A 16,516-nucleotide genomic window follows, 5' to 3' on the forward strand; every position below is an offset into this window, starting at 1 on the left:
CAGAAAGGCCACAGGGGACGGGCGCGGTGGCTCATGCCTGTAATCCCAGCACTTTATCACTTGAGGTCAGGAGTTCAAGACCAGCCTGGCCAACATGGTGAAACCCTGTCTTTACTAAAAATGTCAAAAAAAAAAAAAAAAAAAAAGCTGGGCATGGTGGTGGGTGCCTGTAATCCCAGCTACTCAGGAAGCTGAGACAGGAGAATCGCTTGAACCCAGGAGGCAGAGGTTACAGTGAGCCGAGACCATGCCACTGCACTCCAGCCTGGGCAACAGAGTGAGACTCTATCTCAAAAAAAAAAAGCCACAGAAATGTCAAACACTCCTTCCCCCTCCTCACAGGACATTGACAGGGAAGCTACAGATGGAGGGTGGGTGGGGACGCTGGGGTCCCTGGCCTGGCTGGGAGGACCAAGTCAGGGCAGCCAGGCTCAGACTGACCCTGCTGTCCATGAGGAGCCTCAGCTCACACAGGCAGCCCAATCCCTGCCTGGGTTCAGCAGCTCCCATTGCACACATGGGGAAACTGAGGCTCAGAGACAGGCTGGAGCTGGACTCTGTACACCAGAACCCGGCAGGTCCTGCCACACCATTGCTGCCCAACGAATCCTCCCCAGCTGCCATCTGTGCTGGGGCTTGGGGACTCAGTGTGGACGACAGCAGGCGGGTGCCCCTCACCCACTTCCCACCAGTTCCCTATTCAATAGATGGAGAACTGAGTCTGAGCCCACCCAGCTTCATCCAGGGGCTACAAACTCAGACTACCCCCCACAAGAGGAAACGCCCAGTGGCCTGCCCCTGGAGTGGGTAGGGAAGCCCCGTGTTCAAAGCTGTGCCCCACAAACCTGGCTCCCCGTGCTGTGTGACCTTGAACAGGCTCCTTGCCCTCTCTGGGCCTGTTTCTCTGTCCACTGGGGGCCTCTTCATGCCATTTTGTTAGAAGAGTCTCTAAAAGAAGAAAAAGATCACTTGTCAACCAATTAAGAACTGCTCAGATGCTCTTTCTAAGCACTGAGGTTCTTTTACATGACACAAAGACCCTGATATGGCCAGTGCGCTGTTGTTTATTGAAATTGAGGTGAAATTCACATAACACATGGTTAACCATTTTATTTTATTTTATTTTTTATTTGAGACAGGGTCTCACTGTGTCACCCAGGCTGGAGTGCAGTGGTGCGATCACAGCTCACTGCAGCCTCGGCCTCCTGGGCTCAAGCGATCCTCCCACCTCTGAGTAGCTGGGACAACAGGCGCATGCCACCATGCCTGGCTAATTTTTGTAGTTTTGGGTAGAGACAGGGTGTCACTAGGTTGCCAGGGCTGGTCTTGAACTCTTGGGTTCAAGCGATCCTCCCGCCTCGGCCTCCCAAAGTGCTGGGCTTACAGGTGTGAGCCACCGTGCCCGGCTACAGTTAACCATTTGAAAGTGAACAATTCAGTGGCATTTAGGACATTTGCAATGTCGTGCAACCTCTGTCTGATTCCAGAACATTTCCATCACCCCAAAAGGAAACCCCGTCCCCATCAGCAATCACTCCTCATTCCTCTTCCCCAGCCCCAGGTAACACCAATCTACCTTATGTCTCTATGGATTTGCCTGTTCTAGGCATTTCATATCAATGGAATCTCACACTACGTGGCCTTTTGTGTCTGGCTTCTCTCACTCAGCATTGTGGGGATTTATTTGTTTGTTTGTTTGTTTTTTGAGACGGAGTCTCGCTCTGTCGCCCAGGCTGGAGAGCAGTGGCACGATCTCAGCTCACTGCAACCTCTGCCTCCCGGGTTCAAGCGATTCTCCTGCCTCAGCCTCCCAGGTAGCTGGGATTACAGGCTCCCGCCACCACACCCGACTAATTTTTCGTATATTTAGTAGAGAAGGGGTTTCACCACATTGGCCAGGCTGGTCTTGAACTCCTGACCTCAACTGATCCGCCCGCCTCAGCCTCCCAAACTGCTGGGATTACAGGTGTGAGCCACCATGCCCGGCCAACATCAGGTTTTTGAGGTTCACCCTTGTCACGGCATGGATCAGCGCTGCATTCCTTTTTACGGGTGCATAATATCCCACTGCATGGATAACTCACATTCTGTGTATCAGTTCATCTGCCAACAAAAATGAAGGCTGTTACCACCTTTCAGACATCATGAGCCATGTTATGAACTTTCACACACAAGTGTCTGTTTAAACACCTGCTTTCAATTATTCCCGGTATATACCCAGGAATAGACTCCCTGGATCATATGGTAATGTTAGGCTTAACTTTCTGAGGAATTTCACAATTTCACCGTGTGTGTGTGAGTATGTGTGTGTGTGTGTGTGTATGTGTGTGTGTGTGTGTGTGTGTGTGTGTGTGTTTTATAAGGCCCCTGGCCAAACTGGGAATATAGTGCCTAGAAATTTCTGGCAAGTTCTTTTCTCTGAGCGCTTTCCTCTGCATCAACCCGTCCCTCCCACCAGAGCCTGCTCGACCCTGGCTGACCATAGTCCCCTTCCAAAGCGACCCCAGCCCGCCCAGCCTCAGGGCAGTATCTGCACCTGTGTTATGTCCCCATCATCCATGCTTTGAATGCTACTGATATTTTGTATACTTAAAGTGCTACCCAGGCTGGGCGCGGTGGCTCACACCTGTAATCCCAGCTCTTTAGGAGCCGAGGCAGGCCGATCACCTGAGGTCAGGAGTTCAAGACCAGCTGGGCCAACATAGTGAAACCCTATCTCTATTAAAAATACAAAAAATTGGTCGGACATAGTGGCTCAAACCTGTAATCCCAGAACTTTGGGTGGCCAAGGCGCATGGATCACCTGAGATCAGGAGCTCGAGATCAGCTTGGCCAACATGGTGAAACCCCGTCTCTACTAAAAATACAAAAATTAGTCAGACGTGGTGGTGAGTGCCTGTAATCCCAGCTACTCAGGAGGCTGAGGCAGGAGAATTGCTCAAACCTGGGAGGCAGAGGTTGCAGTGAGCCAAGATCACGCCACTGCACTCCAGCTTGGGCGATAGAGGGAGACTCAGTCTTAAAAAAAAAAAATTAGCCAGGTGTGGGGGTGCGTGCCTGTAATCCCAGCTACTCAGGAGGCTGAGGCAAGAGAATCACTTGAACCTGGGAGGCAGAGGTTGCAGTGAGCCGAGATCAGACCACTGCACTCCAGCCTGGGTGACAGAGCGAGACTCCATCTCAAAAAAATAAAAATAATAAATAAAATAATAAATAAATATATAAATAATAAAGTGCTGCCCAAATTGTTTTGTTTTAGAGATTATAAAAACAGAAAAAGGGGGTGGGCACAGTGGCTCATGCCTGTAATCCCAGAACTTTGGGAGGCCGAGGCGGGCGGATCACGAGGTCAGGTGATCAAGACCATCCTGGCTAACAGTGCGAAACCTCGTCTCTACTAAAAATACAAAAAATTAGCTGGGCATGGTGGTGGGCGCCTGTAGTCCCAGCTACTCGGGAGGCTGAGGCAGGAGAATGGCGTGAACCCAGGAGGCGGAGCTTGCAGTGAGCCAAGATTGCGCCACTGCACTCCAGCCTGGGCGACAGAGCAAGACTCCGTCTAAAAAAAAAAAAAAGAAAAAGAGAGATGACCCATGACCCATCTCTCTTCTTGGAGCTCCTGTGGGCTCAGGCTGGAGAAAGTTAGTGGGTGTGTCCTTCTGATTAGAGGACCCCTCACCACCCAGACTCTTCTGGCAATCTCCAGCTTATTTTACAAAGCCCAGCTCTGATGACCCCTCCTTCAGGCAGCCCTCCTGGATCTCCCAGGAAGGTCCTGGCTCTGGCTTATCCCTGACTATTCAGAGCTGGGCTGTGTCGTGAAAGGCCTCAGTGCTCTCTTCCTTTGCTTTGCCTTTTTTTTTTTTTTTTTTTTTTTTTGAGCTGGAGTCTTGCTCTGTCGCCCAGGCTGGAGTGCAGTGGAGCGATCTTGGCTCACTGCAACCTCCGCCTCCCAGGTTCAAGCGATTCTTCTGCCTCAGCCTCCTGAGTAGCTGGGACTACAGGCGTGCACCACCACGCCCAGGTATTTTTATTTATTTATTTGTATTTTTAGTAGAGATGGGGTTTCTCCATGTTGGTCAGGCTGGTCTCGAACTCCTGACCTCAAGTGATCCGCCCGCCTCAGCCTCCCAAAGTGCTGGGATTACAGGCGTTAGCCATCATGCCTGACCAGTTCTCTTTCTTTGGTGCTCACCCTTTTGTCCAACACCCCAGAGACGCTTCTGAGACCCATGGTGCTTGCTGAAAGCATCTGGGCACCTTCTCAGTGCTCAGCCCTTGTCCAGGCCCACAGGCAGCTCTCTGCCCAGTCTGAGTGTCCCCTGAACTCTCCAGCCCCACTCCTGACCCTCATTCATTCATTCGTTTGAGTATTTATGGAGCACCTGCTGTGTATGTACAGAGACTCAACTGACACAGACAGACAAAACCCCAGTCCCGGGGAGTCATGGGATGGGAGACAGATGACCTTGACTGTCACCACATGGCACATGGGTTGTCGGGCGGGCAGGCGCAGGAGGGGAGGCGAGGACACAGCAGGATGGAGACCCCAAGTCCCTGGAGACGGGGCCCTGTACTGGGGGCTGGGGCTGTGAGGAGGGCACGGGGGAGCCACAGCGGGTTCTGGGCGTCAAGGCCACCTCTGGCCGCCGATGGGAGAGGGAGGAACCCGGGCAGGAGGGAGGTCAGGGCGCCAGGGCGGGAGCAGGGAGCGATGGTGGGGCCCCACTGGAGAGCGGGTGGGGAGGGAATTGTGGGATTTGGGTGCAGCCAGAGAGAGTGGAAGAGGCTGAGGCCAGCAGGGTTGTGGGGGTGGGGAGGTCATGGGGTGAGGGTGGCGTGGAGGGGCCCCCACACCCTTTGGGCAGCATACACATCTGACCAAAGATTCAGTTCCTCAAAAATGCCACATTGGCGCGTGTGTGCACATGGGCAGAGCATGCACACGGACACGCACGACACACACAGGCACACACACCTGCACACAGAGACACACGATATACAGAGAGGTATACAGACAACACACACAACACAGACACACACACACAACACATGGATGCACACACACACAGACACACAACACACAGAGACAGAGACACAGAGACACCACACACCACACACATACAACACAGAGACACACACATAACATATGCACATCAAACACAACTACGCTCAACATAGAGACAGACACACACAGAGACATGCAACACACAGAGACACACACAGAGACACACATACAACACACACAGACACATACGCAGAGACACACAACACACAGACACACAGAAACTGACAACAGACACACATACAACACACACGTACAACACAGAGACAAACGCATAACACAGATGCACACATACAACACTCACACACATCAAATACAACTACACACAACACAGAGAGACATACAGCATACAGACACACATATAACACACACAACACATGTGCAACACAGATATAACACATAGATGCACACCAAGCACACACAACACACACAGACACACAAAACAAAACTACACACACAACACACAGACACACAACATGCACAGAGACACAAGCATACAACAGCCACAGAGACACACAGACACCATGCATACAACACAGACATACACATACATCGCTTGAACCCGGAAGGCGGAGGTTGCAGTGAGCCAAGATCGTGCCACTGCACTCCAGCCTGGGTGACAGAGCGAGACACCGTCTCAAAAAAAAAAAGCCCATTTTGCAGAAGAAAACTGAGGTCAGAGAGCAGAGGCAATGTCCCCAAGCTCTGAATAGTCAGGAGTGAGCTGGAGCCAGGACCTTCACGTGGCAGGGACACAGGGCAAGGACTGGCACGTGCCAGCTCCCAAGACAGCAGGCTGGGAGCCTCCCTGCAGCCCAGAACATTCCCATCCCCACGGCAGTTCCTGCAGGGCCCCTCCCCCGCCCCGCCTGCCCTGACGCTGAGCTGAGCACATTTCCCATCCCACCCCTGGCTCTGTTCCATTCCAAGAGAAACAGGTTGCACCTGCACAGTTCCCAGAAGGCCCTGGGCAGCAGGAGGCCAGCCACGTGAGTGGGTGTGTGTGGAGACGTGCAGTCACATTGCAGCCCCCACCATGCCACTGCGCAGGAGGAGCAGGGCCACGGGTAACAGAGCCACTAAGAGGGGCGTGTGGGGCACTGAGCACTCAAGCACTGGAGCCAGCCAGACCTGAGTACCACCCAGGCTCAGCCACTTGCCAGCCTTTACCTCAAAGGAGGGAGGAGGGTTTTTTTTTTTTTTTTTTTTTTGAGAGTCTCACTCTGTCACCCAGGCTGGAGTGCAGTGGTGTGATCTCGGCTCACTGCAACCTCTACCTCCTGAGTTCAAGCAATTCTGTCTCAGCCTCCCTAGTAGCTGGGATTATAGGCATGTGCTACCACACCTGGCTAATTTTTGTATTTTTAGTAGAGACAGGGTTTCACCATGTTGGCCAGGCTGGTCTCGAACCCCTAACCTCAAGTGATCTGCCCGCCTCGGCCTCCCGAAGTGCTGGGATTACAGGCATGAGCCACTGCGCCTGGCCTTCTTCTTTTTTTTTTTTTTTTTTTTTTTTTGAGATGGAGTCTTGCTCTGTCACCCAGGCTGGAGTGCAATGGCACAATCTCAGCTCACTGAAACCTCTGCCTCCCGGGTTCAAGCGATTCTCCTACCTCACAGGAGGGTTCTATGAGGGGGCTTGGGAGATGTGTGCAGGAGGGGCCCCAGCAGGCCGGGAGAGCTACATAATATAACATAAAGTTCACCATTTTTAAAGTGAACAATTTGGTGGCATTCAGTACATTGACAATGTCATCCAACCATGACCTCCACTTCCAAAGGAGACCTCATCCCCATCAGTAGCCATTCCCCATTCCCCTCCCCCAACCCCTGGCAGCCACTCCTCTGCTTCCTGTCCCTATGGATTTGCCTGTTCTGGGCATTTTATATCAGTGGAATCCTACACCGTGTGTCCTTTTGTGTCTGGCTTCTCTCACTCAGCACCGTGTTTTTGGGGGCTCATCACGCTGTAGCATGGGGCAGTGCTTCCTTCCTTTTCATGGCTGCATTGTATTCCATTGTGTGGATGAAACATGTTGTGTTGACCTGTTCACTTGTTAATGGGCACTTGAGTTGCTTCCACTTTGGGGCTATTGTGAATAGCGCTGCTGTGAGTGCATGTGTCTGTGTATGTGTGTGTCTGTCTGTGTGTCTATGTGAGTGTGTGTGTCTGTGTGTCTATGTTGTGTGTCTGTGTGAGTGTGTCTGTGTGTCTGTGTATGTGTGTGTGTCTGTGAATGTGTGTGTCTGTGTGGGTCCATGTGTCTGTGTGTGTACGTGTGTCTGTGTGTGTGTGTACGTGTGTCTGTGAGTGTGTGTGTCTGTGTGTGTGTGTATGTGTGTACAAGGATTTGTTTGGTTCTTCCAACACACTTTTTGTGTTCTATGACCAGGAGATCCAAGTAACTCAGGCCCTTGGAGGGAGGTTCTGATTTACTGAAAAAAAAAAAAAATTCCACATTATACTCATGACTTGAAAAACATTAAAAGAGAACCAAACTGGCTGGTTGCGGTGGCTCACACCTGTAATCCCAGCACTTTGGGAGGCAGAGGTGGGCAGATCACTTGAGGTCAGGAGTTCGAGACCAGCCTCACAAAACCCCATCTCTACTAAAAATACAAAAATTAGCCGGTCGTGGTGTTGGGCACCTGTAATCCCAGCTACTCGGGAGGCTGAGACAGGAGAATCACTTGAACCTGGGAGGTGGAGATTGCAGTGAGGCAATATCGCGCCACTGCACTCCAGCCTGGGTGACAGAGCAAGAATCTATCAAAAAAAGAGAGAGAAAGAGAGGGAGACCCAAACCAACAGTTTTCCCTCACCCCTCGCCCCTCAGCCCCTCCCTATGTTGCGGCTCAAAAGCCCCAAACCCAAGCCAGGGAGTGGGGGACCAGTGCGTGGGCAGACACTGCATCCTCAAGGGTGAACCATCCCGGGAAACTGTAGCCCCTCTGATGGGAGGGAAGGAGAGGACAACCTCAGAACGTCTCAAAGCCAGGCTGCTTCGGGTCACAGGCCTGAGTCCCAAAGCAGGACTGAGCTGGAGGACACAAGGACCTCCCTGAAGCCACGGGGCAGGCAGGGGCAGGAGACCCAGTTTCAGACCCACCTGGAACCTTGGGAGTGGCCTTTAGCTTCCCCTCTCTGTGTGGCTGCTGCCAGGCTCCCAGCACCAGACACTGGCTCCCAAGTATCCTTCTGGTCCCTGAAGTTGGGCTGATGAGAGAAAAAGGTGAACCCTCTCCCCTGCCTTTTTTTTTTTTGAGACGGAGCCTCGCTCTGTCGCCCAGGCTGGAGTGCAATGGCTCCATCTTGGCTCACTGCAACCTCAGCCTCCCAGGTTCAAGCAATTCTCTGCCTCAGCCTCCTGAGTAGCTGGGATTACAGGCACCCACCACCACGCCCTGCTAATTTTTTACTTTTTGTAGAGATGGGTTCTCACTTTGTTGTCCAGGCCAGGCTGGTCTCAAACTCCTGTCTTCCAGTGATCCTCCTGCCTCAGCCTCTGAAAGTGCTGGCATTACAGGCAGGAAGCCACTGCACCCGGCTGAAAAACCCTTTTAGTATCAGAGCACAGGGGCTGGGTGCAGTGACATCACACCTGTAATCTCAGCACTTCGGGAGGCTGAGGCAGGAGTATCGCTTGAGTAGGAGTTTGAGAACAGCCTGGGCAACATAGTGAGACCCCCATCTCTTAAAAAAATAAATAAATAAGTTAATTAACCAGACATAGTGGTGCATGCCTGTAGTCCCAGCTACTAGGGGGGTTGAGGTGGGAGGATCGCTTGAGCTGGGAGTTGGAAACTGCAGTGAGCTATGGTAGCACCTCTGCACTCCAGCCTGGGCGACAGAGTGAGACCGACCCTGTTTTTTTAAAAAGAGAGAGAGAGAATCACAATGTAAGTGAATAGTGTAATATTAAATTTCAGCGTATCCGTTAGATAAAGAAGTGTGGGTATGATGATTTCGCAGAACATAGTGACAAGAAATGTGTCACACTTATACCACATTAAGGATGTTGAGGCCAGGCGTGGTGGCTCACATCTGTAATCCCAGCACTTTGGGAGGCTGAGGCGGGTGGATCACCTGAGGTCAGGAGTTCGAGACCAGCCTGGCCGACATGGTGAAACCCCGTATCTACTAAAAATACAAAAATTAGCCAGGCATGGTGGCAGATGCCTGTGGTCCCAGCTACTTGGGAGGCTGAGGCAGAAGAATAGCTTGAACCTGAGAGGCAGAGGTTGCAGTGAGCTGAGATCACGCCACTGCACTCCAGCCTGGGCAACAAGAGCAAGACTCCATCTCAAAAAAAAAAAAAAAAGGAAGTTGAGTTATGTTACTCTTTCATGCTACTTTAATTTTGTTTCACACTATCTGCCAAAATAAACTCTTTCCTATAACTTAAGATGTGGGTGTATATGTATATGTATACAGATGTAGATGCGTGTAATTTATTATATACTGTTAATTTCACTATTTGGGTTGTAATAACATTATTTTGAAATAAAAATATAATTGTTCAGATTGTGGGGTACATCTGAAGCCCTTAGTCCTTATCGTGTCCTCTTCCGGAAGCTGAGATCTTGGTCAGCAGGTGCAGAGGAAAGAGCCAGGTTTCAGAGCCACAGAATCAGTTTCTCTTGGAATCTCAGGTTCCTTCTCTGTGAAATGGGGATAGTGACACTCTGACTCCAAGCATTCACACATGCTGTTCCCTCAGCGTGGTCATCCCTTCCGTGTCATTTGCCTGGAGAGCTCCTACATATCATTAAACCCCAACTGTGATGTCCCTCCTCCAGGCAGCTGCCGCAGACAGATGCTCCAAATTCTCTCATCCCCACCCGCCTTCCAACCGAGCCCTGATCCTGCAGGCTGTGGCCATCTGTGTCCAGCTCTGTCTCCCTGAGACTGGGGGCTCCTTGAGGACTGGGCTAGGGGACACAAGGGGATGGCGAGTGTTTTATAAAAATGGAGATGCCAGGCTGGGTGCAGTGGCTCACGCCTATAATCCTAGCAGTTTGGGAGGCCGAGGTGGGTGGATCACCTGAGGTCAGGAGTTCGAGACCAGCCTGGCCATCATCGTGAAACCCCGTCTCTACTAAAAATACAAAATTAACCAGGTGTGATGGCACATGCCTGTAATCCCAGCTACTCGGGAGGCTGAGACAGAAGAATCGCTTGAACCCGGGAGGCAGAGGTTGCGGTGAGCCGAGATCGCAACATTGCACTCCAGCCTGGGCAAGAAGAGCAAAACTCCATCTCGAAATAAAAATAAAAATAAAAAATAAATGAAATGGAGACCCCAGTACCCCCCGTTGATAGATAAGAGACTGAGATTTCTAGAGGGGCTCAGCTTCCCTGGGGGACAGCTGTTTAGACCCAGAGCCAATTTTCAACTCTTGGGCAGCCAGACTGCAAGTCCAGTGCTCCTTCCAAAACTTGTGTGTATGGAGAACCCACCACCTGTGCCCTGACCCCCTCCTGGTTCCCCACAGCCCCTGCCCAGGCCAGGACACCCTGTCCCCTGGGTGTCCCTGAGGTCACAGATAAGGCCGCTGGGCCCGGCTATCGGCAGGAAACATCTTGGCAGGACAGGAAGCGCGGCATGGGTCAGCCGCGCCTGCACCCGGCTCAGCCTATCAGCGGCCAGATATTTTGGGAGCCACTATATAAACCCCAACTCGGCTCCAAGCTGTTCCCCGGGGAAGCCTCAGGCTTCATGTTCTGCGGCAGCCCTGAGGCTGCTGGAACACGGGGCCCGGGAGGAGCTCAGGAGCTGAGCGGGACAGAGTGACAGGGGTGGACTCCGTCCGGGCATCACTGCAGGCCAGAGGGTGCTGGCTCTGAATCGAGCTAGCCCCTATTCAGTCCTGGTGCAGACACTCTCACTTGCTGGGCAAGTGGCTTCACCGCCCTGTGCCTCAGTTTCCCCCTCCCCACATCCCTCCTTTGATCCTGTCCCAGGGAAAAACACACCTCCAGGTCCTGGAGCCTTTTCTGAAGTTTCTGGGCCGACATCTGAGGGCCAACCCACTTTCTCCCAATGCAAAGCAGGGCCCAGGAATCTGCATCTTAAAACCTGCCTTGGCCGGGCACAGTGGCTCACACCTGTAATCCCAGCACTTTGGGAGGCTGAGGCGGGTGGATCATGAGGTCAGGCATTCGAGACTAGCCTTGCCAGGATGTTGAAACCCCATCTCTACTAAAATTACAAAGATTAGCCGGGCATGGTGGCTGGTGCCTGTAATCCCAGCTACTCCGGAGGCTGAGGCTGGAGAATCGCTTGAACCTAGGCAGCAGAGGTTGCAGTGAGCTGAGATTGCACCACTGCACTCCAGCCTGGGCAATAAGAGCAAGACTCCGTCTAAACACACACACACACACACACACACACATACACACACACACACACACACACACAACAGGGATCCATACGCAAGCCCAAGCTTCTCAAGTTCAAGAACATACGGTGGGTCCAGCTCCTCCACCCAAAAAGTTCAGTGGACAGGCACCCAGCGTGACACCGCATAACTGCTGAATTTGAGCCACATTATAAGAATGGGCTGTAGTTATTCCCATTTTACAGAAGAGGGGTTGAGGCCCAGAGAGGGGCAGGAAGTTGCCTGAAGCCACACAGCAGCCCAGAGGCCACGCCCTATCAGAATCTCCACCCCGTGCACCTCTCAGGAGATGCTCCAGGGGTGATGTGGCCAGCCAACAAGCAGTGGGGTTAGGATTTGAACCCGGGTCTGCCTGCTCCACGACCCCTTGTTGGCACAGAACAGTGCCATCTTGGGCCCAGTGATGACTGCTCTGGTCCTGAATAACATGCATATTTCTCCCAGGACCAGTAAAAGTGAAACGAAGAAGTGAAATAAAAATACTCAAGAACTCACTGGGGCCCGCAGCCGGCTCCTGACCTCAGAGCCTCGGCCTTTCCTGGGGAGAGGCAAGGGGGCAGGACGGCAGCGCGGGCAGAGGAACCCAAGCGTGGCTATGTAAAGTGGCCGGCCCAGCACCTGCGACTGCCTGCCAGGGCAGGTGATGAAGCGTGCCCGGCCGGCCCCCACCCCAGGCAGCTGCAGCTGGCAAAAGGGAACAGCCACACCACATATAACCTGGCCTGAACTCCACCCAAAACCAGAGCTCGAGGCCTGGCCCGTGCCTGGAAAGCCAGTTTTGGCCCAATGACTCTGGGCAGGTCACTGTCCTTCTCTGGATCTCAGTCTCCCCACTGGCCACAGAAAAGTCTCAGCAGTGGCAGAGGCTCCTGCCTGACCATTCTGACCATCCCAGAATGGAAAGGGAAATCACCTCCCTCATTCTGGAGCCTATACCTCTAATAATATAACCCATGGGCCTAGCAGCTTGCTGGGCAGCTATGTCACAGGCAATGGGCCCCTTCAGGTGTCCCTGAAGTCCTCATCCCTGCCCACCTTTCTTTAAGATCTGGTGGGGACTGGGGGTCAAGATGTCTTCTAGTTCATGCCACACAACCACTTGGCTCAGTTTGCTGCCAGGGAGGCACTGGACTGGCATCTCTTTCCTGACGACATGCTCACTGCCAGCCGGGGCAGCCTAGTGTGTGGCTTAGTGAAAGTGGGTGCCTCCTTCAGAGTGGCTCAGTCCCCACCCTGCCCTGCTCTGCCATCCAGCCACCTGGGACTGCTGACAGAGACCTAAGTCAGTCCTTCTCTAGGTTAAATGCCCTAAAGCCTCCAGGGCCTTCTCCCAGGACACCACTTAGAAGTGTGTATACACATACACACACACACACCATGGTGGTCTTCCCCAAACCTGCCACTATCCATCTATCCCCATTTTGAAGTGGCAGGGCCCCCTGCCTGACAGCATTGACCAGCCCAGAATGGAGAGGGAAATCACCTTCCCCATTCTGGAGTCTATACCTCCAGTAATGCAACCCATGGGCTCAGCGGCTTGCTGGACACCTATGTCATAGGCAATGGGCCCGTTCACGTAACCATTCGTCAATTCCAAATATTGAGCCCCACAAGGGAGCTTTGATGAAGGTGGTGGGGATGGGGATGTCTTGTTTCTTTTTCTCTCTCTTTTCTTTTTTGGTAGAGATGGGATCTTGCTATGTACCCAGGCTGGACTTGAACTCCCCCTGGCCTCAAGCAATCCTCCTGCCTCGACCTCCCAAAATGCTAGGATTACAGGCATGAGCCACCAAGCCCAGCCGGAGTGTCCTGTTTCTTGAGCTGGCTGCTGGTTACCTGGGCATAGTCCCTTTATGAGAAGTTACAGAACTGTGTACCTAGGATTTGGGTACTTTAATGTCTGTATGTTTTCCTTGAATAAAATATTTTAAAAGAAGAAAAGGAAAGAAAGCAGTTTGATGTCTCGGACTGAGAATGAAAGCTAAGTAGATAATAACTAGGTGAGGTTTGAGGGCATGGATGGATTCGGGAAGGGCACTGCAGGCAAGAGGCACGGCGCGGCTAAGGCCTGGTGTCCTGAGGCAGCCTTGGTGTTTGAGGGACCTGGCAGAGGCCCGTGTGGCTGGGTGGGGGCAGGGACCAGCCATGCAGACCCTCAAAAGCCACAGCAGGGTGCATGGATGTTACCCCGAGACAGGTGCCAAGCCGAGAAGTTTAAGTGGAGGCTGATGATTAAGTGGAATGGACATGTGGAAGGGCGGTTGAAGCCATGAGCAAGGGCATTTATGATTGAGTGGTAAAGGGTTGCTCAGCCCATCTGCCAGAGGGGAATACTGAGGCCCGGTGAATCCAGGCTGCTTGGCTACAAGTAGGAGGTGGAGGGGCAATGTGAGCCTGGCCCAGCTCGCCCAAGGGCCACTTTCTCCCAGCTGCACCCACTTGGAGAGTGGTCACAACCTCTGTGCCCAAGAATCAGCCAGATCTCCCAAGTTTGAGTCTCACTCTGAGCTCACTGGCCTCAGTGTCCTCACCTGTCAAACGGGGGCCTGGGAGGGTGAGTCTCATCTTCGACCCCTCTGCAGGCAGCCCAGCGACTCTTTACCACGGATTTCACTGCGATTCCAGCCAAGAGTGCCTGGGCAGTGGAGGGGGCATTTCATAACCCGAGCACTGCAGAGGTGGCTTTTCTGAGAAGCCCGGCCCCAAGGAGGAAACTCTCTGATCTTCGAATGCCGTGGGGGTGGGGGTGGCACCCTCAGCTTGCACCAGGAAAAACTCTGGGGGAAGGGGAGAAGGTAGGAGTTCTAAAAAGAAATAACTCAGTAATGCAAATTCAGCCGCATTGGGGGAAATGGAAGAAGTAAAAAGGCACTGATGAGAAGGGACTCGTGCCACACGCAGGGCAGGGGGTTCGGGGACACCATCTGGGCAGATCACCACCCAGGCACCCTTGCCACAGCTCCTGGCCTTACCTCGAGCCTTTATCCGGGCTGCACCTTGACCTGGGGTCTCCTTCCCCTAAACCTCCCCATAGGGAATCTTTCTCTTCTCTGACCCCTAAAGGCGACCTCATACCCTTTCACCAGTCACACCCAGTTACACTGTGTCCCCCAGCTCCTGGCCATCACTAAGCCACCTTCTGTCTCTACAGATTTGCCTGTTCCAGACACTTCAGGCCCCTCAGTATCACCCCCACTGTGGTCTTGTCTTCAACTGTGGTCTCTCCAGAGTCACCTTGGTTTTCTGCCTTTTGCTCGTCCATCCCCACCGCTACCCGTGGGAGGGCAGGACCCAGCTGGCTTTCTCCCTGCTTCTCCATCCATCCTACTTCTGACTCCCCAGCCTGGAGCCTGGCACCGAAAGGCGCTCAGTAAATATTTGCTGGCTGAATACACGGGGTCAGGCCCACCTTATCTTTAGCAGGGAGTGTTATCAGCTTGGCTCGGGACCAAACTCCAGCTCAGCTTGGGCCATCCCTCCTACAAGCCCCAGTTCTTCTCAGCTAAACAACAGGTCTGGGGGGTGACACTTCTCGCCAGGGGTCCCCAAAGATAACCCACAGCACATAGAAAGCCAGGCACACCTGGCATGGCGCAGTGGCTCACGCCTGTAATCCCAGCACTTTGGGAGGACGGGGCAGGAAGATCACTTGAGCTCAGGAGTTTGAGACCAGCCTGACCAACATGGTGAAACCCTATCTCTACTAAAAATACAGAAATTAGCTAGGCGTGGTGAAAGGTGCCTGTAATTCCAGCTACTCAGGAGGCTGAGGCAGGAAGATCGCTTGAACCCGGGAGGCAGAGTTTGCAGTGAGCTGAGATTGCGCCACTGCACCCCAGCCTGAGTGACAGAGCGAGACTGTCTCAAAAAAAAAAAAAAAAAAAAAAAAGGCCAGGCACACCGGAGATACCCAGCCACTGTCATTTCCCCCAGGGGTGTCCCCTTGCTGATCCCTGGATGGGGCTCTGTCTTCCTCCCCCACCAGGCAAAGAGAGGATAAAAGTGACCAGTGAGGCTCTGAAGGTGCTGGGTTCTCTCCCCCACCTCCAGCTCTTTCTAAGAAGCCAATGGTGATAACATTCCCCCAAAACAGGAACCAGCGAGGGGCACCCTGTGTTGCAGAAACCTCCCGCAGAAGCTGCCCACCCAGCCCCCGACCCCACGGCCGGCTTCAGGGCCCGCTGGGCACAGCCTGGAAAGATTTTTATGTAAAAGTGGTCGATGCAAATCCAGAAACCTGGGGACCATGAAAAGATCCACTTCCCCTTTAACCCACTCTGGCCTGAGTTGCTGCCACCTGGGCACGGCTGCTGGACATAGGCCTCCCTGACCCCCGCTCCCGTTTGCCAAGCCGGCTTCCAGCACCCACAGCGCTTAGGACTTGCTCTGCGCACCGGAGGCCCCAAATCCTGGTTGCTGGGCTAGAGGAACAGGGAGCAGGAACGGCTCATGTAGACCCCCAAACCCCCTGCCCTGAAGCAGGAATGATCCCAGCAGCTAGATCTGACTTTTTTTTTTTTTTTTTAAGACGGAGTCTTGCTCTGTCGCCAGACTGGAGTGCAGTGGCATGATCTCGGCTCACTGCAACCTCCGCCTCCCAGGCTCAAGAGACTCTCCTGCCTCAGCCTTCCAAGTAGCTGGCATTATAGGTGCCCCCCCACTTCGCCCGGCTAATTTTTATATTTTTAGTAGGGATGGGATTTCACCACATTGGCCAGGCTGGTCTTGAACTCCTGGCCTCAAGTGATCTGCCTGCCTCAGACTCCCAAAGTGCTGGGATTACAGGTGTGAGCCACCGTGCCTGGCTGCTAGCTCTGACTTTTAAAAAAAAATTGAGATAAAATTCACACAACATAAATTCACCATTTTATTTTGATTTTTTTCAGACAGGATTTTACTCTGTCACCCAGGCTGGAGTGCAGCAGGTTCATCATGGCTCAGTACAGACTTGACCTCCTGTGCTCCAGTGATCCTCCCACCTCAGCCTCCCGAGTAGCTAGCTGGGACTACAGGCATGCACCACCACACCCAGCTAACTTTTACATTTTT

At 52.9% G+C, this 16,516-nt stretch overlaps 5 annotated features.

Annotated features, from left to right (window-relative positions):
- Positions 4,102 to 4,603: an enhancer, noted in NCBI's record as "H3K4me1 hESC enhancer chr19:16362883-16363384 (GRCh37/hg19 assembly coordinates)". NCBI's record gives its function as "activates a minimal SCP1, AML or CMV promoter by ChIP-STARR-seq in naive H9 embryonic stem cells {active_cell/tissue: H9 hESC(naive)}" and the evidence as "EXISTENCE:reporter gene assay evidence [ECO:0000049][PMID:30033119]".
- Positions 4,604 to 5,103: an enhancer, noted in NCBI's record as "H3K4me1 hESC enhancer chr19:16363385-16363884 (GRCh37/hg19 assembly coordinates)". NCBI's record gives its function as "activates a minimal SCP1, AML or CMV promoter by ChIP-STARR-seq in naive and primed H9 embryonic stem cells {active_cell/tissue: H9 hESC(naive and primed)}" and the evidence as "EXISTENCE:reporter gene assay evidence [ECO:0000049][PMID:30033119]".
- Positions 10,516 to 10,850: an enhancer, noted in NCBI's record as "KLF2-I DHS fragment used in reporter constructs". NCBI's record gives its function as "activates the minP and KLF2 promoters by reporter assays in K562 erythroleukemia and HEK293 embryonic kidney cells {active_cell/tissue: K562 | HEK293}" and the evidence as "EXISTENCE:reporter gene assay evidence [ECO:0000049][PMID:23985037]".
- Positions 11,716 to 11,935: an enhancer, noted in NCBI's record as "active region_14218". NCBI's record gives its function as "activates an Ori minimal core promoter by ATAC-STARR-seq in GM12878 lymphoblastoid cells {active_cell/tissue: GM12878}" and the evidence as "EXISTENCE:reporter gene assay evidence [ECO:0000049][PMID:35858748]".
- Positions 12,366 to 12,445: an enhancer, noted in NCBI's record as "active region_14219". NCBI's record gives its function as "activates an Ori minimal core promoter by ATAC-STARR-seq in GM12878 lymphoblastoid cells {active_cell/tissue: GM12878}" and the evidence as "EXISTENCE:reporter gene assay evidence [ECO:0000049][PMID:35858748]".

This window comes from Homo sapiens, chromosome 19 (assembly GCF_000001405.40).
Source record: "Homo sapiens chromosome 19, GRCh38.p14 Primary Assembly".
Lineage (NCBI taxonomy): Eukaryota > Metazoa > Chordata > Mammalia > Primates > Hominidae > Homo > Homo sapiens.